Below are 25,189 nucleotides of genomic sequence, written 5' to 3'. Positions count from 1 at the left end.
TTGGAGTGCAGTTGTGCTATCCCAGCTCACTGCAACCTCTACCCCCTAGGTTCAACAGATTCTCCTGCCTCAGCCTCCTGAGTAGCTGAGATTACAGGCGCCTGCCACCACACCCAGCTAATTTTTGTATTTTTGGTAGAGATGGGGTTTCACCATGTTGGCCAAACTGGTCTTGAACTGCTGACCTCAGGTGATCTGCCTGCCTCAGCCTCCCAAAGCGCTGGGATTACAGGCGTGAGCCACTGCACCTGGCCTAAAAAAGTTATTAATTGAACATAAATGAACGAAATATACCAGTTGAAAGTCAAAGAACTTCAGCGTATGGAAATCAATGATCAAATATAAAAGACATGTTTAAAACATAGGATATAGAAAAGTTGAAGTAAAAAGTTTGTCAACTTTCTTTTGATTACTGCTTACATATCTTTTTTGTCCTTTTATCAATATTAAGAATGTAAAAGGTGATATTATAGATATAATAGACTAACAGAAAAGAGAGAGATGTTATACCAATACTTTTGAAAATTTAGACATAATAAAAATATTCTGGAAAAATATGCTGTACCCAACTGACTTAAAAAAAAACCTCAAGAATCCATGATGCATTCAAAGAATAAATAACTCTAATCTCATATTTCAGAGGATATTAAAAGTTTATATTTCAGAAATAGAAAAGATTCATATTAATCTAGGTCTAATCAAGAGACATAAACAATAGAGTGATTTAATTAAGGGGAAGTATAATATAAAGAATTATTAAGCCTCGATAAAAGAATAACTATTAGATTTAAGAGAACTCTACAGGGTTCCCTAAGGCTGACAGAGAGTACCTAGGGATGGGAAAACTTAGACCCCTTCTCCCCCAAGGCTGGGATTCAGACTTCATTAGAGAAGGTATAGTTGCAGACCACTGGATGGCAGAAAAGTTCACTGTGTGCCTGAGCCAATCCACAGGCACTGTATAAGCAGGAAGTATTCCTCTGGGTTGCAAGCAGGTCTCAGCCAGGGGCAGGTACACAGGCATGCAGGTGTGCAGAGGAAGTAGGGATGCTACTGTGGGTGGGAGGCCTGGAATGCCTGGTGTCCACATCAGGAGGGTAATGGAAGACAAACCTCTGGGAGGGGATAGGTGAGGAGAGGGAGTTGGGTGCCACTGTTGGCAGGAGGTCTGGAGTGTGATGTCTTTACTGCAAGGGCCTTGGGAAAGTAATCTCCAGGTCAGTCTGGGGCTATGAGTTTGCCAAGGGATCTACACCCCATATGCACATTTGATATACTAAAAAGGCAGTGCTACATATGAATGGAAAAAGAAGGGATTTTTCAATACACGATAGAGAAATTATCATCATAGAAAAAGGTGAAATTGGACAGCTGTCTCACATCACCTTACTCTTGGGTAGTACTGATTTAAGGGGAGCATCAGAGGGGCTCCTGGATTGCTTGAAATGTTCTGGTTCTTAATCTAAGCACTATTAACCAAGACATTGTGAAAATTCATTAAGTTGAATTCTTATGTTCAATTTTCTGCATGAAATTTCAATTAAAAAGTTAAAAATGTGAATCTTTTAACTTCTGCAGACAATATAGGAAAATACACTGATTTTGCAGTAGGACAGGATTTCTTAAAGAAGATGCATAATCACAACATCAATTAAAAAACTGATTAAGTTACATTAAAATTAAGAACTTCTGTTCATCAAATAAAGGAGTGAAATCATAGCTACTCTGGCTTGCAAAAAATTGTAATACATATAACCAACAATTTTTAAAAACCTACATGTATAAGACATTTCTGGAAACTAAAGAGTAAATGAGGAGGAACCCAACAGAAAACTGGACTGAGGACTAGAAAAGGAGTTTTAAAATGAAGAAATCCAAATCCTTTATAAACTTATAGAAAGATGCTCGAACTCATCAGTGATTAAGAATATGCAAAGCAAATCTAGGAGAGTCCAGTCTATAACCACCAGATAGTTATAGATCTAAAAGACTGGCAGTGCAAAGTGTAGGTGAGGATACAGAAGGCTGGTATACTTCTGGTGCCAAGTAAAATTTAATTCCAGTGATTGCACTCTTTAGGTTATATTCTGGAGAAGTGCTTCTCTTATTTCTCTCTGCGTACTATTCACACAGACTTTAACATGCAAATGAGTGTTGTTAAAATGGAAATTCTTATTCAGTAGGTCTGGAATGAGGCCTGAGCATCTGCATTTCTATCAAGCTCCCACATGTTGAAGGTTCTGCTAATCCGTGGACCACACTAACACAGCCCTAGAGAACCTCTTGCATTTGTACCCCAGGATGAACATACAGGAATGTTCACAGCAGCATACTCTGTAATAACCTCAAACTGGTAACAATTCAAATGTCACCAACAGTTCAATAGATATATAAATTGCGGAAAATGCATTCAAGATAAGAGTATATAACAAGAAAGTAGACAATCTACATTTGCATGCAACAACAGGAATCAGTTTTATAAACAATGTTTATCAATAAAAGCAAAACATAAAAGTATTTTGGTAGATCAAATTCAAATAAAAAGTTAAAGCTAAGATTTATAGTTTAACACCATTGGCAAGTTTATTTCTTTTAAGAAGGCAAATATTTACAAGAAAAGTTAGGAAAGTCGTTAGCTCTTGGGGGAGGAAAAGTACTTTGGGAAGGAAGGATTCTAGGGTGGTAGCATCTATATTGTTTCTGCTAAGTGGCCCACTATCAAAAGCTGTAGGTATATATTTAAATGCTTTTCTCTGTGTTATATTTTACAATAGTAGATTTTAAAAAAACCTAATTTACTAGAAAAGGAGATGCTGAGCATCTATTTTGCTAGACGCTTTGGGAATAGGAAATTTTAGGGTGACCAACTGGCCCAGTTTGCCTTAAACCGAGCTGTTTCTTGGAGCATGATTTTCAATGCTAATACCAAGGCAGTCTTGGGCAAACTGGATGTTTGGTCACCATGTATCCATTTAGACCACTTTATCACTAAAAAGTCCATTAAATGTGAAGAGTAAGGCCTTGATATTTCATCAGTTAATATAAAATTATGATCAGAAATACATTAAGAGTAAGAAGGCGGAGTCTGTAAACCCAGGAATTAAAGCAAGAATCTAAAGTGTAACCCACTGGAGAGATTTATTTGAAGTTTCTAGTTATAGCATCTAGGAAAAGGCCACAGTATTAAACAATTACTTGTTTTTTACAAGCTCCTAACTGCCAAGGCTTGTCCTGACTGACAAGCCTCTCTGGATACCATTGGCAACTTCTGGGTTTTGACTGGGTTTTCTCACTTACACCCTCCTGTTTGGATAAACAGTGCTCGGTACTTAAGCCATAGAGATCTCTAAAAAGGATTTGAGTACCCTGATAACATAAGTCTCAGAGCCTGATCTCATTTTTATTGTTGCTGTATTCTGAGAAACAGAATCTCTTTCACTCCCTGGTGGACCTACTCACCAACCTTTAATGTCCAGCTTAAATGTCTTATCACCTGTGGAGCTATCCCTAGACTTCCTCTGGTAGAGTTGCTTTGTCTTTGAGCAAGCCTCCATAACATACATCTATGATAACACTTAGCACAAAGTGATAGTGAATTTTTAAAATTTACTTTTCCCCATTAGATGGTATACTTTTTAAAGCCTGGGGCTTCTTCTTGTTCATCTTGCATTGTCAACACTTGGTACATGCCTGACACAAAGTAGGTATTCAGTGTTTATCTGCATCTAATAAATATGAAATAAATACCTGCTGAGGTTGTAGACAATAACTCCATGTGTTAAACTGAAATACTAGGCGTTACAATTAGTTTGGCCCAAAGAAAACCATGCTATGTTGTTGTTCCTATGTCTGGTTAAGTATTGCTTGTTTGGTTGAATGTAACTGCGGTAAATAATGTTTTGATTTTTTTTTAAGTTAAAAAAAGGAAAAAATTTAAAAAATTTAAAAAAGGTCAGTACTGATCTGTAGGCTACTGATTCTTATTGAATATAAATGTCTTAGAATGTAAACCACTCTAGGGCAGGTACTATATTGTGTATGAGTTCTGCTAAGTAACCACCAGTTATTACAATTTTTTTAAAAAAAGTAATGTACGTTTTCTCTCTAGAATACATATGGCAAAGAGTGATACAAATTTTATGAACCAGTAGACTTGTTTGTGTCCCTAAATATAATTTTGAATCTATCCCAAATCTAAGGAGAATTATTCATTATTATGTTCTAACTCATAGCGAAACGAAAGTCATTCTCAAATTTAATGTACTGGAACAGTATTCTAGTGTTCTAAAACGTACTTTAAACCAATGAGGATCTCTGTTGTCTTTGGATGGCTGAGCTTTGAAGGAGCTCCAAATTTTCCTGTGTAGTCCATAGATGAGTTTATAGTTTAGATATATGAAGGCAATAACAGTTGGGATCACAGAATATCTCTTATTTGCTGAAGGAGGAAAATACTTTTTGTCATTCCTGGTTACTTTGCAAGAGGTAAAATATTTCATTGCCTTAAAGTTGGAATTAATTTATAGCAACTATTCGAAGAATCTATTCAATTACACACCAATGGGTATGAAAATAGATTTATTTTACGACCTCTCATTTTTATCAGTTTGTGCTAAGCTGTGTCCACTGGGAAATACAGTGGCTATATATATGCAATGTTTCTTTCAAGCATTTCATATATATGAATCTTTTAAACATGAGGTAGTAAAATTATGCTGGCAAAATATACTATAATTCTATTGTTTTAAAATAATAAGCAAAGTTGGTTTGGCTTGAAAGTTTACTGAAGCTTAGCAGTTCTTCAAAGTGCCATTTATTAAATGTCATATTAATTAGTTAAACTATCAGCCCTATAAAGCAACTCTCCGTGCAAGCATTTTCTGATTCTTTTCCCCCTCGTTCACTGTCTGGACTATTTCTTCTTGAGTATACACACTGAGGATTTAACTTTGTCCACAGATAGACAAGGTATTAATGTTGGTTAATTTATCTACAGTGAAATTGTTGAACTAATTTTTAGAATACAAAATCAAGATCTTACCCCTTAATTTGCCTTTTTAAAAAGGCAATTTCCCAAACAGATTAATGATCTTTTTTTATCCCCAAGGTAGTTTCTCTGGCATATGTTTTAAAAATTGGAGTTAATAATTGATGACCCTAGTAAATTACAGTCATGCTATATAACACGTTGTAAGCTTTATCTGACTTAAGGAATAGGAAAGAAACCAAACCATGGAAATAAGGATAATTTTAATGTTCTAAATTTTTCATTTTCTGATATAATAATATTTTGTTGAAATCCTCTGTAGAGGAAAATATGGTTGGGAAATATATTGAAAAAACATTTAAGTGACTGATGCATTTTTCTTTTATTGTGTTTAAAAAATGAGAACATTTACATCCCATTTACAAAAAGAGAAAACACACAAACTTTAAAAAATATTTTTGCTTATGTTTTTCATGATCTTTAATTGCCCCAAATCATTTTCATCTAATTGTATATGAATGAAAGTGTTTTTCTTCAATTAATTTGTAGGACATTAATTTTTAAAATGGTATTTATAATTTTTCTTCATTTTCAGTGTTTCTGAAAGTACATAATTAAATATAGGGAAGGATTTTGTGGGTGATTGTAATATCCTGGGTCTTTTAAAAGTAATTTCAATCAGAATTAATAAATAGATGTAGAGAAAAACATTAAATAAACTGGCTAAATAACATAATTGTTTTACCTTTTTGTTATAATTCTTTTCTATTTTTCTGTTGTTTTGTTTTCTCATAGTTAGTTTAATATTTGAGCATCAATTAAAATGAGAACACTTTTTTTTGAAACAAGAGTCTCACTCTGTCACCCAGGCTGGAGTGCAGTGGCATGATAGCTCACTGCAACCTCTTCCTCCTTGGTTCAAGTGATTCTCCTGCCTCAGCCTCCTGAGTATCTGGGACTACAGGTGTGCAACACCACGCTCGGCTAATTTTTGTATTTTTGGTGTGGACAGGGTTTTACCATGTTGACCAGACTGGTCTTGAACTCCTGACCTTAGATGATCCACTGGCCTCGGCCCCCTAAAGTGCTGGGATTATATAGATGTGAGCCACTGCGCCTGGCTGAAAGGTGGACATTTTCTGAAAGGTGGATCAGGGATGTTATCCGGTTGTTAAAAAACTTTTAATATATTCTCGACTCCATTAAATTGTCTTTGTATCAAAAGATTGGCCTCAAAATAAGAGAAAAAAAATCACACAAACACAACGTTGGATAAAAAGGATAACTTCTTTAGAAAAACTGAAGATGTTAACTATGGGAAAAGCCTTAAAGATGATATAGAAATGCAAAATGTGGTTAGAATTTAAGCAGTCCAGAAGGAAGACAGTTTTAAAGAAAAGATAATTTTCAAGCAAGATAAGGAAGAATATTAAGAGAAGAGAAGATGATAGCTTTGCCTTTTTCTAAAATGGTAGAGGAAACCACTTTCATCTACTTCTCATGGTGAATATGAGGACCAGGTGAGATTGTATATGTAGAGGTTAATTTATAAATTGTGAAGCATTAAACTTTATTGATTACTGTGTTTAGAATAAAGTGTTAATACTTGAATTTTTGAATAATTTAATACAATATTGTTCTGCATTTTAAAGTAACTAATAGAGTATAACTGGATTGTTTGTAACACAAAGGATACATGCTTGAGGGGATTAATATCCAATTTTCCATGATGTGATTATTATGTGTTACATGCCTATACCAAAATATCTCAAGCACTCCATAAATATATATGCCTACTATGTACCCACACATTTTTTAAATTAAAACAATTTTCTAAAATTCTAAAGCCAATTTAAAATAACCACAAGAATTTTGATTCTCAGTATACTTTGAAATCCACCTGAAGGCAACATTCAAGAAATAATTTTTAAACTTATTGCATGTGCTAGTGAAAGAAAAAGAGCTTAATTTCAGAAAATTGAGTTGGCTACTTTAGATTTTGAAATGCTCTCATTTATTTTGCAAATATTTTATTTTAAAGATGTAGTTGTCTCATTCTGTCACCTAGGCTGGAGTGCAGTGGTGTGGTCTGGCTCAATGCAACCTCCACCTCGCTGTCTCGAGGGATCCTCCCACTTCAGCCTTCCAAGTAGCTGGGACTACAGATGCATGCCACTATGCCTGGCTAATTTTTTTATTTTTAATTTTTTTGTAGAGCTAGAGTTTTGCCATATTTCCCAGGCTGGTCTCAAACTCCTGGGATCAAGTGTTCTACCCACCTCAGCCTCCCAAAGTGCTGGGATTATAGGCATGAGCCACTGCACCTGGCCTAAAGATGAACTTTAAATTAAGAAAGTATCTTTAAAATACTTGGTAGGAGCTTTTAACCTTTCAGGAATATGACTCAAATTTGATTTGGCACCATAACATGAATAATATAAATTGCTTATGTGGAGGTACTAATAGAAGATAAGATAAGAATATTTAACTTGTCTTCTTCTTCTCCTTCTCCTTCTTCTTCTTCTTCTTTTTTTTTTTTTTTTAAGACAGGATCTCACTCTGTTTTCCAGGCTGGAGTGCAGCGGCACGATCATAGCTCACTGCAGCCTCGATCTCCCGGGCTCAAGTAATCCTCCCACCTCAGCCTCCTGAGTAGATGGGACCACAGCTGCGTGCCACCATGTGCAGCTAATTTTTAAATTTTTTGTAGAGACAGGTCTCCCTGTGTTGCCCAGGCTGGTCACAAACCAGTGGGCTCAAGCGATCCTCCTGTCTTGGCCTCCCAAAGTGCTGGTATTATAGGCGTGAGCCCCTGCCCCAATCCCTGTCTTCATTTTTTGATTGAAATATAATTTATATTCAGTGAATGACCAGATCTCAAACGTGCCTTTCAGTCAGTTTTGGCAAGTAGACGTCACGTTAGAAAGTTCCCTTTGGCTCCTTCTCAATTTACCCTTGCTCCACTCTCTACCTCTAGAAGTAAATGCTGATCTGAGTTTAGTTTTGCCAGTTTAGGACTTAGAAGCAGGCAAAACTTTTTGCCAGTTTAGGACTTAGAAGCAGGCAAAACTAAACCCTGATAGTGGAGAGTTTAAGCTGATGGTAAAGCCACGTGATGCTTTCTGTCCAGGTTAGTATTTCAGGGCCCTGCTCTCCTTCTTGGTGTATGCATGTGCTGCTCACATCCACTATTTTGGAACAGCCTTGATGAATCAGCAGTTGCTATTTAGATAACTGGCTAATTGGATCTACCTAGGCTAAGCTAATTCACTGATTGGAATTAGTCAATAGCTGATATATGAAATCCTACAGTACGTATATTTTCTTGCCTTGCTGCTTTTAATTAGCATAATATTTTTAGATTTATCCATGTTTTTGCATATATCAGTAATTCATTCTTTTTATTAACGAGTAGTAGTCCATTGTTTGACTATACCACAGTGTATCAATTCATTATATTGTTGAACATCTATCTTATTTCCAGGTTTTATCTAGTATAAAGCTTCTACCAGCATTTGTTTACTCATATTTGTGTGGGCATATGTATTCATTTTTTTAATACCTGGCTGTGCAATTGCTGGATCATAGCATAGATGTATGTTTACTTAAGAAACAAAAGAGTTTTCCCACATACCATTTTACACTCTCATCAGCCATCTATGAGTGTTTCAGTTGCTCCACATCCTCTTCTACATTTTATGTTGTCAATCTCATTTTAATCATGTTAGTGGGTTTACCCATTGGGGTTTTATTTTACACATCCTTGCCTGATGACTAATGATGCTAGGCACTTTCTCACATGCATATTTTTTATTTGTCTATTTTCTATTGTGAATAATCTGTGTCCTTTGCCCATTTTAAAAATCGAGTTGTCTTTTTATTATTGAATTGCAGAACTCTGTATATATTCTGAATTTAAGTCCTTTGTCATGTGTTGTGAATATTTACTCACAGTCTGTAGCTTGCCTACTTTTTTCTTGCCTTTTCTTATGAGCAGTTTTTATTTTTGATTAAGTCCAATTTTTCCATTTTTAAAATAGTGTGATTTTGTTTTGTCTGTTCCAGGGTTGTGAATATTTTCTATAGTTATTCTTCGGTAGCTTTGTTGTTTTAGCTTACATATTTTGACCTATGAGCCACCTCAAACTGATTTGTGTGTGTGGTTTAAGATAGTACCATTTGTTGAGGAGAGTTTTCCTTCTCCATTGAATTGCTTTGGTACCTTTGTCTTTGATATTATATATGCAGGTCGATTTAGGTACTCTCTGTTCTGTTCCATTGGTCTGTTTGTATATCCTCTTGCTAATACCGTATTATCTTAATACTGTAGCTTTATATTAAGTCTTGAAGTCATGTCATGTATGCCTTCCAGTTTTGTTTCTTTTTAAGATTGTTTTAGCTATTCTTGTTTCTTTTGCCTGTCCAGGTAAAATTTTAAATTATCTTGTCAATTTTCAGAAAAATCCTGCTGTGATTTTAATAGGGATTACTTTGAATCTATATATGAATTGAAGGGACATGGAATAACAATCTTAAAATTAAGTCTTCAATCCATGAGCATAGTGTATCTCTTTATTAATTTAGGCCTTCTTTAATCTCTCAGCAATGTTCTATAGTTTGAGTGTACAGTTCTTACATGCTATTTATTAAATTTACCCTTAATACTCAAAGTCTTGAAACTATTATAATTAATGTTGATTTTACATTTTTCTAATTGTTTCAGTTACTATGTAGATTACAATTAATTTTTAATTTACTTTGTATACTGTAACATTGCTAAATTCACTTTCTTTTTTTTTTTTTTTTCTTTTTTTTTTTTGAGACGGAGTCTCGCTCTGTCGCCCAGGCCGGACTGCGGACTGCAGTGGCGCAATCTCGGCTCACTGCAAGCTCCGCTTCCCGGGTTCACGCCATTCTCCTGCCTCAGCCTCCCGAGTAGCTGGGACTACAGGCGCCTGCCACCGCGCCCGGCTAATTTTTTGTATTTTTAGTAGAGGCGGGGTTTCACCTTGTTAGCCAGGATGGTCTCGATCTCCTGACCTCATGATCCACCCGCCTCGGCCTCCCAAAGTGCTGGGATTACAGGCGTGAGCCACCGCGCCCGGCCGCTAAATTCACTTTCTAGTTCTGCTAGTTTTCTTTCGGATTTATCAGGATTTCTACATACTTGGTCATATCATCTGTTAATAAAAACAGCTTTACTCCCTGCTCCCCAATTTTGTGTCTACTTATCATTTTCTTATTTTATTTAACCGACTAGAAACTCTAGCACAATGCTGAATAGAAGCAGTGATTATAGACCTCCTGCCTTATTTTTAAATCTTAGGCAAGATTTAAAAATAAAAAATATTTAAAAAAATAATTGCCTGCTATCAGTGTAGAGGTGGGGCATGTGTGGCTTTTCTGGTCCTTCTCAGCAGCATTTATGCAGTGTTTGGATTGGAGATAGACTTCTCTGGGTTCTTCTGCTCCACTTCCAAATCAAAAGAGGATCCACACACGTCTATCATGGAGGAGGTCTCTCTTAGGTCTCCTCTCCTGCCACCAGTCTTTCTTGTTGCCAGTCAGTGGAAGCCCTACGTAAGAGTAGGAGAGTCAGTGCAGACACCCCTTTTGTCCAGGGCTTCTGAGGATTCTGTACTCTCAAATTGGGTCACAATTGGCCTTTAAAGATTAATTAAAATTTTATCTGTTTTCTTCTTGCCTGCTTCTGTGGTGGCCATCTCTTCCTCTTTGGTCTGCCCAAGGTATTATAGTATTGTGTTCCATCTCTGTGGAGGAGTTTGTCAACTTTGCATTGCAGATCATCAGACTGCCTTGTGACCATAGCACTCTAGCTGAAAAACGAAATCATTATTTTGTAGACTGTCTGGTTCGTTCTCATTGTTATAGTGGGAAAGATCTTTTTTTATGACATTCTATGTCTAAAGTAAACATAGAACTCTACGTGTTTTAAGATTTTTAAATGATATTTCTTAATATTATACCTAAAAGTTGGTGTAATGCATTTGATTTTTAAAATCTCTTATTCTGTGAGGCTGAGTTCAATCTCTCACATCTATTTCCTCTATTACTAGAAATAATGATACTGGAAATGCTTGATTAATTGATGAGCCCCAATTTAAAGAAATATACAGGTATTTCTATAATTTATAGAATAATGAACTATGAGTCAAAAAACAGAGTTAGAATCTCATCAGATTATCAATATATTCTGAGTTTCAGTTTTTTGCTTTTCTGGGACTGGAGAGGTAATTCTCGTTTTTATCTACCTCTCAGTGGACATAAGGCTAAGATGAGAAGAGGCATGCAGGTGTTATTTGTAAATTTTTAATATGCAAAATAGATAAGTTAATGATAAGCTATTTTCAGAAAGGAATATACATAATTAAAATTGGAAACTTTGAAATGAATTTTTATTCTAATAGCTTAACATTCATAATACTTTATGACCTTTTTGTAGTAGGCAGGAGAGGGCATATTTTATACATAGAAATAATTGACAAATATATATTGAGTACCTGCTATCTGGGCTGGATGCACTGCTTTTTGCTGGAGAGATACTGGAGAACAAAGTAAAGATGTTGACCTAGTGACACTTACATTCTAGTTGAGAAGATAGCTAATAAGCAAGTAAACACATTTCTGATGCTTTGCTCTAACTGAGAATAGTTCTGATCTAGGAATTTACAGTATCTTCAACAGTCACCCTGTGAGGATCTGGAGAGTTGCTTGGGAGATTGCTGAGATATGCCTCCTTGCACTTTATAATGCAGTTCCATTCTTTCTTTTTTAAAGTCACACTTTGTTGGAAAAGTAGTATTATTCATGTTTTGCTGTGAGTCTGATCTCTTTTCCTCATGAATAGATGTTTAATTCAAACTTTTCTTGGCATTGGAAAAGTTTGTGCATTTTGGAATAAAGTAAAAAACCATTTTATTATGGAAAATCTAAATATACAAAAGTAAAAAAACTAGGATAATAAATCCACAAATATTCATCATCCAGTTCCAACAATTATGAATTCATGGCCAGTATTATTTTATCCATGCACCCATCCAATTCCCTTCTCAGCTTGGATTAGATGAGGCAAATTCTTTGATATCCATTCATAAATATTTTTCAGCTTGTATTATAAAAGATGAAGAATCTCTTTTTAAAGCACAATCAAAATACATCACCTAAAATTAACAACTTATTAATATGAACTAATATATAGTAATTGTTCTAATGTCCGTGTTTCATTATATTTGATAGAGGCTTCATTCAAAGGCAGATGGGTTTGTTACATCTTTTTTTGCTTCCATCTTTTAAAAGGTTAAAGGCTTTTGTTATAAGTTTGCAGAATGAAAGTGAAAATGTCATCTGAGTTTTAAAGGCAAAGAAGTGTTGACTAAGGACTTTTTGTTCATGTTTTGAAACATGACCATACGAAATGCTGTGCTATGTATATAGGAATACAAATTAATTTTAGATGTCATCCATGCCTTATAAGGAATTTACAGTCTTGTGGCTGAGTTAGAATACAAGAAAACATAATCCCTTTTGTAATCTACAATACAAGGCAATGGGATGTGTTCTGTTCCAGTGGTGGAGATTAGCAGTTCTCATTCTCCATGGTCATTCATGTTAGCATATCAGGATCAGTGAAGTGATTGCAAGGTATGTTTTCTAAATACTGAAAAGAAAAAGCTCACTTTGGGAGGCCGAGGTGGGCAGATCACTTGAGTTTGGGAGTTTGAGACCAGCTAGCCAACATGGTGAAACCCCGTCTCTACTAAAAATACAAAAATTAGCCAGGTGTGGTGGCGTGTACCTATAATTCCAGCTACTCAGGAGGCTAAGGCAGGAGAATCGCTTGAACCTGGGAGGCAGAGTTTGCAGTGAGCCGAGATCATGCTACTGCACTCCAGTCTGGGCAACAGAGTCAGAGTCTGTCTCAAATAAATAAATAATAAAAGAAAAAAAAGAAAAAGAAAAAGATAAAGCTGAGAATTATTTAACCTTTTAATAATTAGAGTAGATTCAGGGTTATCTTTGTTATCACATAGTCACATTCCTTTGAATTCAAATGTACCATCATGAGTGGAAAGAAAAAAAATGACGGTGTAGCTTGGCCTTGAAAGTTGCCCATACTTTTGGAAGGTGGAGATCAGTGAGGATGGGTTATTGGGGGACTGTGGCATAGGCAACTGTGTGGAGATGTGTTTTCAAAGTTATTTCAGGTTAAGGTCGTAGAGTAGTTTAACTGGAGGAAAGGTTCATATGTGGACATAGTAGTTAGTAAGACCAGTAAAGTAGATTGAAAAATTAACTTAATTTTGTTCTTAATTATTCTTAAAATTTCTATGCAAGTAATACATATTATGTTTCTCAAAAGAACCACATTATGTTGAATTTGATCTGTTGGTGTGTAGGAGAGAGAAGACAGAGCATCTGTGGAATATTTTATTAGTATCATCAATTTTCAATTATTAGTAATAATGGAAACAGAATCCATGTGGCTATCTGAGCTTTATAGATAACACCTAAAGCATTAATATTCAGAATTTTCTTCATCCTCTTAAGACTTAGCCTTTTACTTATATTGATAACAAGTAGAAATAATGATTTGTGTTTCATTTTGCTTTCTTTCTGATGAAAGGACTGAAAAGGATAGGTAGAATTTGGCTAATCCGTACATCCAATAATTGTAAACATTGATCACAATAATAGAAAGTCTTCGCCTTAGCTCATTTCACTGTTCTTGTTTCTTATATTTATGTGTGATATTTGCTTTTTTTTTTTTTTTTTTTTTTTTTGAGACGGAGTCTCGCTCTGTCGCCCAGGCTGGACTGCGGACTGCAGTGGCGCAATCTCGGCTCACTGCAAGCTCCGCTTCCCGGGTTCACGCCATTCTCCTGCCTCAGCCTCCCGAGTAGCTGGGACTACAGGCGCCCGCCACCGCGCCCGGCTAATTTTTTGTATTTTTAGTAGAGACGGGGTTTCACCTTGTTAGCCAGGATGGTCTCGATCTCCTGACCTCATGATCCACCCGCCTCGGCCTCCCAAAGTGCTGGGATTACAGGCGTGAGCCACCGCGCCCGGCCGATATTTGCTTTATATTTATCTTTTACTTTAGCTTTATCACTTGGACTTCGTGAGCCTCTTAGTACTAACACAGATTTTTAATTTAATTCTCCACATGCGTACGATTTAGTGAAGTTCCCACCAATCATATACAGTTCATACCTTGTAAGGTCACAAGCTAGTTTCCTCCCAGCCCTGACTAGGAGAGTAGTAAAGAATAGAGTGACACATTTGGAATGAATATATAAATATAAGCAGGGCTAAAATTTTGTTCTGTAATCATCCCTTTGTTTTTGTCACCAGGATCTTTTTTTTTCCTCTTTTGAATGTATTACATTAACTTTCAGTAAAGATAATGTTACATTAGTGACCTTCAATCTTCTGACAAGCTGGTCATCAAAAACAGATGAAAATAACAAAATTAATAATCTTTTTTAGGGGATTAGATTCTTATTTTTGTTTCCTAAAAAGGCTAGCTCATTGAATTTGCTCAGAATTTGCACAATTATTGTAGCTCATACATAACCTGTGAAGAAATAAAATACCAAAGATTTATGACCATACGTTTTGTAGGTAGTTTTTGTTTTTTAAAGCTTAATCATTCTTTCACATTGCCAATCAAATACCTCTTCATTATAAAAATTCTGGAAAGCCAAACGTTCAGGTCTGTTTCTTTACAAAACCTGTAGAAATTTCCTTTAGTGATGGAGCTTATATGTGAAGATATCATGGAAAGTCATCCCCTGACCCCAGTCATTCTCAGTTCTAGATTTCCCAATGCTGGGATTATCAACCAGCTTCAGAGAGAACTGGTGAGGTTGGTTCACCTCTCAGCTAACATGGCCTGCTTCTGTTCATTCACCTAGGTTTTAAACTGTTAACATGTAAGATTTGATTTTATCAGATTATTTCTATGTGGTGTAGAAACCAAACTGGGTAGAGTTTGAGCCAAAATGTCCAATGTGCTTAATCACTTATATCCAACTCGTATGCATTTGCCTCAGACTCACAGACTGCTTCCTAATCTTGTCCTCCAAAGCTCAGTGGCCAGTCTGGTTTCACAGTGAAACCATGGTTTAGGTACAATGGCAATTGATATGGAGAAAAAAACAATTAGAATAACATTCCTTAAGAGGTGGCAGTATGTGAGTCAGGTATTTAAGGTTTCATGAACTCCACAATCAGCCCATTCAGAAATAAGAGAATAGAATACAGAAAAAAAATTGATCAAACCAAAAGCTATTACTTTTAACATTTTGGCACAATTTTGTGAAGTCTTTTGGTTTATGGATTTTTTTGGTCCATAATTAAAAGCACAAGGTATATGAGATTTTTTTTCTTACAATACAGTTATAATGTAAAATACTTCATAAGCATAACTTTTGTTGTTGAGGAATAAGTCAATGCATGATATAGTAAAATTTACCCAGTCTCCCATTTCTGGACATTTATATTATATTTACATTTATATTTTTTCCAATTTTATTTTTATGTTGGAGTCCCAAAGACCACCCCAAGTTTGCTGATTCATTAGAGGGTCTCACAGTACTTAGCATATGGTTGTAGTCATGGCTAAGGTTTATTACAGTGAAAGGTTACAAAGCAAAATCAGCAAAGGGAAGAGGTACAGGGATTGAAATCCACAGGAAACCGGGAGCAAGAGTCCGATAGTTCTCTCCCAGTGGAGTCAGAAAGGATGCCCTGAATTCCTCCAGCAGCAAGTCATGACAACATGTGTAAAGTGTTGTATACCTGGGATGCTTGTTAAAAACTTAGTACCCAGGATCTCTTATTGGAGCCTAGTCACATAGGCATACTCTGCCTAGCATGTACCAACATTCTGGATTTCTGGAAGGAAAGCAGATATTCAGCAAAAACCATATTGCTTGCACAATTGGTCTGGGTATAGTGAGACACCCTTATCATTTAGGGAAAGTTTTATATCAGGAATTGTTTACCTGCTAAGTTCTAAGGTATCAACCAAAGGTCAACTTTACAAGCAGATGTTGCTAAGAGTAGCAGTCTCAAGCTTGCTATATTAAGTGTTTTCTGCATAATTATTATAAATAATGCTATAATAAACAATTTTGTTAATCTTTAGTCACATTTCAGATAATTTTCTTAGGAAAGACTCTTAGAAATTGGTATTACAAAAAATATGAACATTTAAAAGACTTTTATTACTGACAATTACTTTCCTAAAAGTCTTCAAATTTTCATTTTCATCAGGGATGTATGAGTTCAGGCATCAAAGCCTTGGCTAAAATAGGTAAGGTACATATGATTCATATATCAATACACGATAAACTTGGAATAATTCTTATTTTTTTAAAAATCAAATTATGTGAGATAAATGAAAAACTAATTAATTATTGCTTCCTTTTCAGGTAGACCACTAAGAATATGCCCTTTAAATTATCACTCGGTGTCCACTTTTCCCCAGGACCTCTGTCTTTCTTGCTTAGAAACCTATACTTCACTGTTATCTGTAAAACATGTACTATCTAGTTCACCATAACAATCATTTGTACTATAAAATTAGTGCATATCCTGTTCCAGTAACTGTGGTTATGCAAGCAGCAAAACAGTGCCCGGGACACAGTCCCAATCCTGCTGGAGTTTGCAGTCCATTGCCCGCAAGAACTGCGTTTGGCAGAGTGCTTCCTGACAAAGATGACAAGTATGCTGCCATCCAAGCCAGATAGTAGCCCCTGCATTGCAAAAGTCAATCTTTGATAGACTTGTCATCAGGACCTCTGATTTTCTTAATCAAGAGTTTTCACTTTGTAAGCCTGAGACCAAAGCTTTCTAAAGCTATTATGACACAGCAGGCTGTCTCTCTCCTTTCCTGGGAAGGTAATAGGAGTTCTCACTTTTACCTAATGATACTGTGGTTCACACCCTGCCCACCCCCCCACCCCACACCCGCTCCCAAAAAGGTGCCATTGAGGGCATATTTAAAGGAAACATTCATTTTATTATGTATCTTTATTAAAGGAAGTTTAAACAAATTGTATTTTCTCGTTTGCAAATACAAAATGTTCTCTTTAGAAAAAAATGAGTGCAATTTAGTCTTAATCTAATGCTTCCTTTGAGGCAAACATTTCTAAAATTCATTTTGCTTTCTCCATACCTTGCTTTTGCTCCTAATTTTAACATAATTTTTGCCCACTTTTACCTAAAATTATATAGACTTATTTTTAATGTGTTTCCTCTAAAATTGCCATTAGTTATGATTAATTGCAAAACATTTGGAAAATACAGAACATTATCATGACAGCCATCTAGTATTCTGCTGCCTAAAGACAATTGCTTGTTAATTTTTTTTTCTCTTAGTTAAGTCACCTAGCTTTATAGGAACACCCAGAGGCTGTTCCCATGATATAAGGAAGAGCTTTCTGAAGGGCAAGGTCATGATTCAGGTGATTTAGTTTGAATTGCTAAAATGGAGAAAACTCATATTTAAGTTATAAGAAAATCAAAATCGCCATTATATTGGGTCTCTCGGTACATGTTCAAGCCAAATAAAATGTTTAGTCTTTGCAAGTGCATGACAGAACAAACTGGTTATTGTTTCTTTGGATAATCATAGAACAGGATTCAGTTTGAAAGCTCATTCCATTTGAACTGTGAGTGAGTTCAAGTTTATACCCTAGGGGAAAAAAATGGTTTAGTTCCTAAGAAAGTAGAATATGCAGAATAGAAACTGTGAGGTAAAGCCAGGCAGGACCACACTTTAAGACCAAGCTATAGAATCCATGTAACTACACCTGATCCTATGAGAACTGAGTATATTGGTGAGGGTAAGAACTGCTAGTTCTCTTACACAGTGGTTTCTAAATTCTTTTATTGATTCATGCCTCAGTCTTTAGTTAAGTGTTTTCTGAGCAAATTTTCAGAGCATTGGTGTATTTGATAATGGTGTTTTTTCCTAGCCTTTACACATGGAAGGCAATTTGGTTATAAAATTTATTTAACTTTTCATTTTCCTGAAAATTCTGTTGGTGGTCTATTATTTATTGATTCTTTTGCTGTTTCACAGAAGAAATTTGAGAATAACCTGGAGTTTACACCTTTGCAGATGTTTTTCTTCTTGAATACATATTAAATTTTCTTTATTCTTATCATTGAAGTTTTCTTTACTCCTGTAATTTTGCCGAATATACTTGTATGCAAGTCTCTTTTAATAAACTTACCCCATAATTCAGTGAACTCCAATAGTCAGATGATTCAAATCTTTTGTTCAGCTTAGGAAATTATTACATAGTATGTTTTCTTCATTTCTGATTGTTCTAGTTTCATCTTCAGTAATGTGTGTGGTTCCTTTGATGGATATTTATTTTTTGTGCTCTTTAATCTATAATCTTCTCTCTTATAATTCTCATCTTTGATGCTTTTCTTCTGCATTCTAGGAGTGCTTGCCAAATCCAGTCATTTGATATTCCATGCTGTCACTTATACTCCTACTAACTCTGAAGTACATTTTTATTCTGCCATTACATTTTTGGTTTCTTTGTATTTCTTCCCTTTTAAAAATGCTAATTCTCATTTTTATTTGACTTACAATTATTATTATTGTTAAACTTTTAGTTATTTCTTTATTGTTTTGGCTTCTATTTCAAAGAGTTGGCTTATTATAATATAGTGAGAATGCCAAGCACTTTTCTATAATTTTCCCCTGGGTCTAGCAGAATATTTTTAGATTTAAACAGTTTTACTGAATTTTTAGAATTATAGACTGTGTTAGTTTCCCTATGGCTGCTGTAACAAATTACTGAAAACCTGGTAACTTGAAACAATCCCCAATTTTTTCTTATATTTGTAGAGGCTAGAAGTTTGAAATCAATTTCACTGAATTAAGTCAAGCTGTCAGCAGGACTAGTTCCTTCCAGAGATGCTAGGGAAGAATCTGTTTCCATTGCCTTTTCCAGCTTCTGGAGGCCACCTGCATTCCTTGACTTATGAGCCCTTTTTCACATCACTCCATTCTATTTTTTGCCTCATCATATCTTCTCTTCTGTAGTAAAGTCTGCCTCTGCCTCTCTTGTAAGGACACTTGTGATTACATGTGGTGCCCACCAGGACAATCCCGGATAATCTCCCTCCCCATTTCAGAATCCTTAATTTAATCACAGTTGCAAAGTCTCTTTTGCCATATAAGCTAATAACATTTATAGGTTTCAGGGATTAGGACATGGGTCTCTTTCTGAACAGTCTACCACAGAGACCTTTTCCCTTGTGTCAGAGTCACAGGTAAGCTTCAAGATAGACCTGGGTTCACACAACCTCTTACCCTCTGAACTTGACCAAGGGACATAATATGTTTTCTCCTCTGTTAAATGGAACATCTGCCTCATAGGGTTATTCTGCAGCATAGGTCAGGTAATGTGTGTAAATTGTTTAGTAATTTGAGCCTTCAATAAGTGTTAACAAGTATTACCATGATTAATATAGGCCCTAGTTTATTTACTTTGCCCCAGATAAGGAGAAATTGATCTATGCAGTGAGCGATTACAAATAGAAAGAACATGTGGATTTTTCTCAGCCCTGAGAAAAATCTAGTTCTATAGTTGATGATCAGGTGTCAATGCCTGGTTCTCTGCCTAATTCCCAGTAACTTGCAGACACCTGTCTCAAAAAGTTGAGCTCTGCTGAGGTGGAGACTTTCCTATTCCACACCTTCATTCTTATTATTTTCAGCTATTTACCTCATGAAAAATTACAATCTCCATTATGCATTGTTATCAATACCTGCCCTCCCCAGCCTCCACACAGAACTCTTTCCTTTCCATAGGGCTGTATCAAATACTGCTGCTGAAGCCAGGGCTGCTTTCTTTCCTAGTTGTTGTCTTGGAGCTGTAGTGTCTAAGTGAATTGTGGTAGATGAAGGTAGGAAAAGGGAATCAGTTATTTTAAAGCAGCACCTACATTGTAGAGAAACATTTTTTGTTCTTTTTTTTTCTGTATTTTTTTCCTTGGGAGATATTAAGCATCTTTCTACCATCTTTCAGATTAGGGAGGGGTGAGTATATTATTATGTAAAAGTCACTGATTGCTTTCCTCAATTCACTTCCATTATCCTAATTAAATTTTCTCCTCAATTGCAAATTGGTAAATGGTTAGATTTATTTTTTGTGATCTTGAGATTTTCATCTTCTCCTTTATCATTATAGTATTTATTGAAGTTGTAAAGGGGCTGCCTCACAGCCAAAGGTAACAGACCATATTGAACCAGAAGTCATTATTTTTTTGAACAATTTTTATCTACTATTAGCTTCAAAGTATCTACCAAACTTGTTCAAATACTTGGCAATTCAGAAAGATGTTATGCAACAGTGATGCTACTGTTCTATATCACATTCTTTTCTAATCAGAATGAAGTTCCCATACATTTTCTAACTTACCTTAAGCTTGTTTTGCTGCTTAGTATTTGCTATCTACAAACTTCTGGTTCCTTCAGATAGCAAAATAGTATGTCTTATTTGCTATAAACTTATATATATATATGTTTATTAAGTATAACTAACACAATCACAAGATCCCACAAAGGTCCCACAATAGGCTGTCTGCAGGCTGAGGAGCAAGGAGAGCCAATGCGAGCTCCAAAACTGAAGAATTTGGAGTCTGATGTTCGAGGGCAGGAAGCATCCAGCATGGGAGAAAGATGTAGGCTGGGAGGCTAGGCCAGTGTCTCTTTTCATATTTTTCTGCCTGCTTATATTCTAGCTATGCTGGCAGTTGATTAGACTGTGCCCACCCAGGCTAAGGGTGGGTCTGCCTTTCCCACCCCACTGACTCAAATGCTAATCTCTTTTGGCAACACCCTCACAGACACACCCAGCATCAATACTTTGTATCCTTCAATCCAGTCAAGTTGACACTCATTATTAACCATCACAGCACAAAAAGTATTAAACAGAACATAGTATGAAAAGAATTATCCATATTTCTTAGATATTTTATAACATAGAAATGGTATCCATGAGTATTAACTGGCATTCACTAGATGTACATAATTTAGTCTATCGAATCTGTCAGGACTCAGAACACGATACCCCAAAAATGTGGTGCCTTGGTATGCTGAGTATTTTAAGCTGCAAGAATTGAGAGGACAGTAGAAGCAGGAAGCCCTCTCTGGATTTTTCTCCCTAGAAGCTGGACATAGAAACTAGAATTCCTCTCCTCCAAAGCTAGCAATAAAACCCGGGAACTTCACTCTCGACTTCCTCCCTTCCCTCCTGAAGACTCTCTTGTGACAAATGTCCTGCCCCATATCTGGAAGCCAAGAAAAATCCGAAGAAATAAGCCTTGCTGAGTTTCCCCTAGTTTACTAAGGTCATACCACATTTTGTCCAATCATACTTCTACATAAAAAATGCAGTTCTCCCTGAGTCTTTGTGTCTTCATTTCTGAAGCCTCCTATGTTACACAAAACTTTGATAAACAAGCTTGTTATACTTTTCTCTTGTTAATCAGTCTTTGTTATAGGGATGTCTCCTCCATGAACACTTCCAATGGGTGAGGGAAATATATTACTTTTTCTCCTCTACAAATCTTTGTTTTCATTGAATCCTTTTGGAAACAACTTATTATAAACAAACAAAAGAAGGTGGTTTAAGTAATTTTAGAGTAAAGGCCTTGTTCATTTTGTACTATAAATTCAACACATATGAATTGATTTAAATGGACATTTCAGTCATTAATTCTAAAATTTAAACTAATGTAACAGATGGAATTCAGCCACCCAAGCAAGCTTCTGGGGTTTGATTATTCAAATGATTAAGATGCTATTTGTCAACTCTAGTTTGCCACCCCTTTTAATTATATAGATAATCAAACTAGGAACTGCTAATTCTGTCTCCTAACTATTAATTGTTTGTAATTACCTACAGATTAAAACTGCATGTGCAATTAACTCAAAGAATTAATTGATACGAGAGAATTGATAAAAGGGAAACAGAACGAGCTTGGCATAAAAGAGGCTCTAGGGACACGGGACCACTAAACTCAGTAATGTCTTTGGTTTTATCATATCCTAATAAAGATACATTTTCATTTGAACTTGCTTCTACTCTGGAAGGCAGATATACAGACTATTTCTTAAGAGCATTTGGTTTCTAAGTTGACCAAAACAGTATATTTTTAAACGTTGAACTACTATTGCCTTTGGGTCTTTTGCTGATATCCAGGTGAATTGAACCAATCTATTCATTTGCGATACTAAGATAATATTTGTCACTACAAAAATTATAGATGTGGGGATTGTTTTAACTACCTAAGAACTTTTCTTTCCTTCCCTTTTCTTTCCCTTGTTTCTCATTCCCTGACATTATCACCTGTCGTATACGATCTTTTCAGTTTTCTGTGAGTCATTTGTATAATTTAAGCTTATAAAATAACAACTACTTATTAGGTTTTGGAAATGTCTCCCACCTGTGTAAATAATGGGCTAATTGTCAACTACATAAATTTGAATAAAAACAGAAAATAAAATTGAAAAATGATTACCATTATAAACGTCAAGATGATGCTAGAAAGTGAGGGGAGATGGTCTGGTGAAAAATATCTAAAAGTCAGAATTTTAAAAGCCCATTTCTTAGGATTTTCTGTTTCTTTATGTATTTATTTCAGTTGGATTCTATGGGACCTTTCACTCTTATGGTTTTGTTGGTTAGCCTTGTAGTCAATGCCAAATCGGGTTCTAATCCAGGAGCACATGCATGCGCGCGCACACACACACACACACACACACTTGGGGCACATCATTATATTCAGTTTTATGGCGCATACAAAGCAAGTGAAAGACTTTTAAGTCTCAATATGCAAATTAGATATGCAGAAAGGCAGCACACTAACATGAATTAATATTTTTTTGATGATAGTCTAAAATATTGAAGAAACACAAAGTCAGATATCAGTATGAGTAGTTATTTAACAAATTTTTTTATGTTCAACACTAGCTACTTTTTAACTCCTTGTTAAACTGATGTGACCATTTTGGTTTCTTTCCAAATCTTGATATTGCGTTTTCCTCAGATTCGTTTACTCTTACAATATTTTATTCTGTCCTGCTGACTGATAACTGGGATTACTGACAAGACTTCTTTTCCATCTATCAATATACAGCCTACTCTTGTGCACATGTGTACACACACACACACACACACACACACACACACACCTGGGATTCAGAACCTTTATTTCTATGTGTCATTATCTGTGAAGATTGTTGACTCCAGGAAGGGTTTGTGAAGATTTAGTCTGATTAATGACTTTGGTCTTCATCAAACTATTAGCTTATAACTTTCGACTGACTTTGTGGAATAAACTGGAATTTGTTGCATGTCACCTTCTGTGCCTGGCTTCTAAGGAGGAGTCATTAGCATACATCAGTATGTGAATGATTACCTTGAGGATTTTAGTGGAGGCTTTACTGCTTCCTGAAGCGGAAAAGTTATAGCTATATTTTCTAGTATGATACCTATATACTGGGAGAAAATAATGCATGGTGTTTTCAACTCTGTGAGTCTGTTTTATGAGTAAGCAAGATAAAACATTTGAAAATGCTCTGGACTCTATTGGAAAAATAAGTTGTATAGGTTTTAGTTTCATATATTGGGTTGGACTCTTCAATGATCAAGAAGATAATCTCTTTGCCTGTAAGATTTAACCTTTTCAGACAATTCATTTTTTAATCAGAGAGGAATTTTATTTATTTATTTAATTTTATTTTTTAAATTAACAAATAAGTGTACACATTCATGGGAGTACAGAGTGATGTTTTTATACATATAATGTATAGTGATCAGATCAGGGTAGTTAATATATTTATCATCTCAGACATTTGTCATTTCTTTGTGTTGGGAATGTTCAATATACTCCTTCTTATTCACCAGTATTTACATAGCTACCTTATTCGCATTGCTAATGAATCAGAAACACAGAGCAATTCCAGGTAAGTTATAGTCCTTGCCTTGGAACAGTTTATAAATTCAAAATGAGATTGGAAAGAGAAGCATGATTATCTAAAATATGAGATATTGCTTATTGTACGTAATGGTGCATTAAGGGGAGTGGGTAGGTCAGGAATAATGCCCATGAGCTGGGGAATTCTTTGAATTCGTTAAGAGGGCTTCATAAGAAACGTAAGGGTGTATACATCTTAATAACTCTTGTGTTACTCTTTTATACTCCCTTGGTCTTACAAAGCTGCCAAATGAAAATATAAAGGGCATGGCCTTTCCCTTGCTATCTTCTTCTTAGGTACTAAAATGCTCAGATTCTCTACAAGCTACTCGTTATTGGCCTTTGCTTCCGTTGAATAATTTTAAGTTCGAGACCATCCTGGCTAACACTGTGAAACCCCGTCTCTACTAAAAAATACAAAAAATTAGCCGGGCGTGGAGGCTGGTGCCTGTAGTCCCAGCTACTCAGGAGGCTGAGGCAGGAGAACGGCGTGAACCTGGGAGGCAGAGCTTGCAGTGAGCCGAGATCGCACCACTGCACTCCAGCCTGGGGGAAAGAGTGAGACTACGTCTCCAAAAAAAAAATAAAAAAGAATTCCACTGATTCACATTGGATTGTGATTGAAATATATGATTGTGTTGCCTCTTCTAGAGATTTTGCCTTTTTGAAAGAGTGCAGAGACTCTTGACTGAAATGGAAGAAATATATATAAAGTTAAAATGAGGCAGAATGTTTATGTACTGATTAGAATGTCTCTGAGATAACATTACCTTTTTATTATTTTATGTTACTTCATTGCCTCCCCATAGACCACTCAAATTATGATCCTGTAAATAAATTGAAGCAATGAAGTGAGAGAATTTATTACTTCTTGAGTTTTCTATAAATTTATGTAAAACTAAGCAGTCCATGGATGACTTTATTAAATTGAAAGTTTCAGGAAAGACTACATAGATACACATATATACATATATATACATATATGAAGGAAAATTGGAAATATGAAAATAGTTTGATTCATTTCGATGGCAGGATTGAACTGAATTTCCTTCTTTTTAAATGATTAATATCTCTGAGGAAAAAAATGGACAAATAAATCTTAAATCTCTTTCCTATGATTAAAGAAAAATGGTTTCTGTAGAAATCTTATGTACCAACTGCCATGAG

The 25,189-nt window shown here is 35.6% G+C and overlaps 1 protein-coding gene across 16 annotated transcripts in view; it reads left to right on the top strand.

Annotated features, from left to right (window-relative positions):
• IQCM (IQ motif containing M) overlaps window positions 1-25,189 on the top strand; it is a 464,135-nt gene that overhangs the window by 168,888 nt on the left and 270,058 nt on the right. The window lies entirely within an intron of this gene.

This window comes from Homo sapiens, chromosome 4, assembly GCF_000001405.40.
Source record: "Homo sapiens chromosome 4, GRCh38.p14 Primary Assembly".
NCBI classification, from domain to species: Eukaryota; Metazoa; Chordata; class Mammalia; order Primates; family Hominidae; genus Homo; species Homo sapiens.
This window is presented reverse-complemented; position numbering and strand designations above follow the sequence as displayed.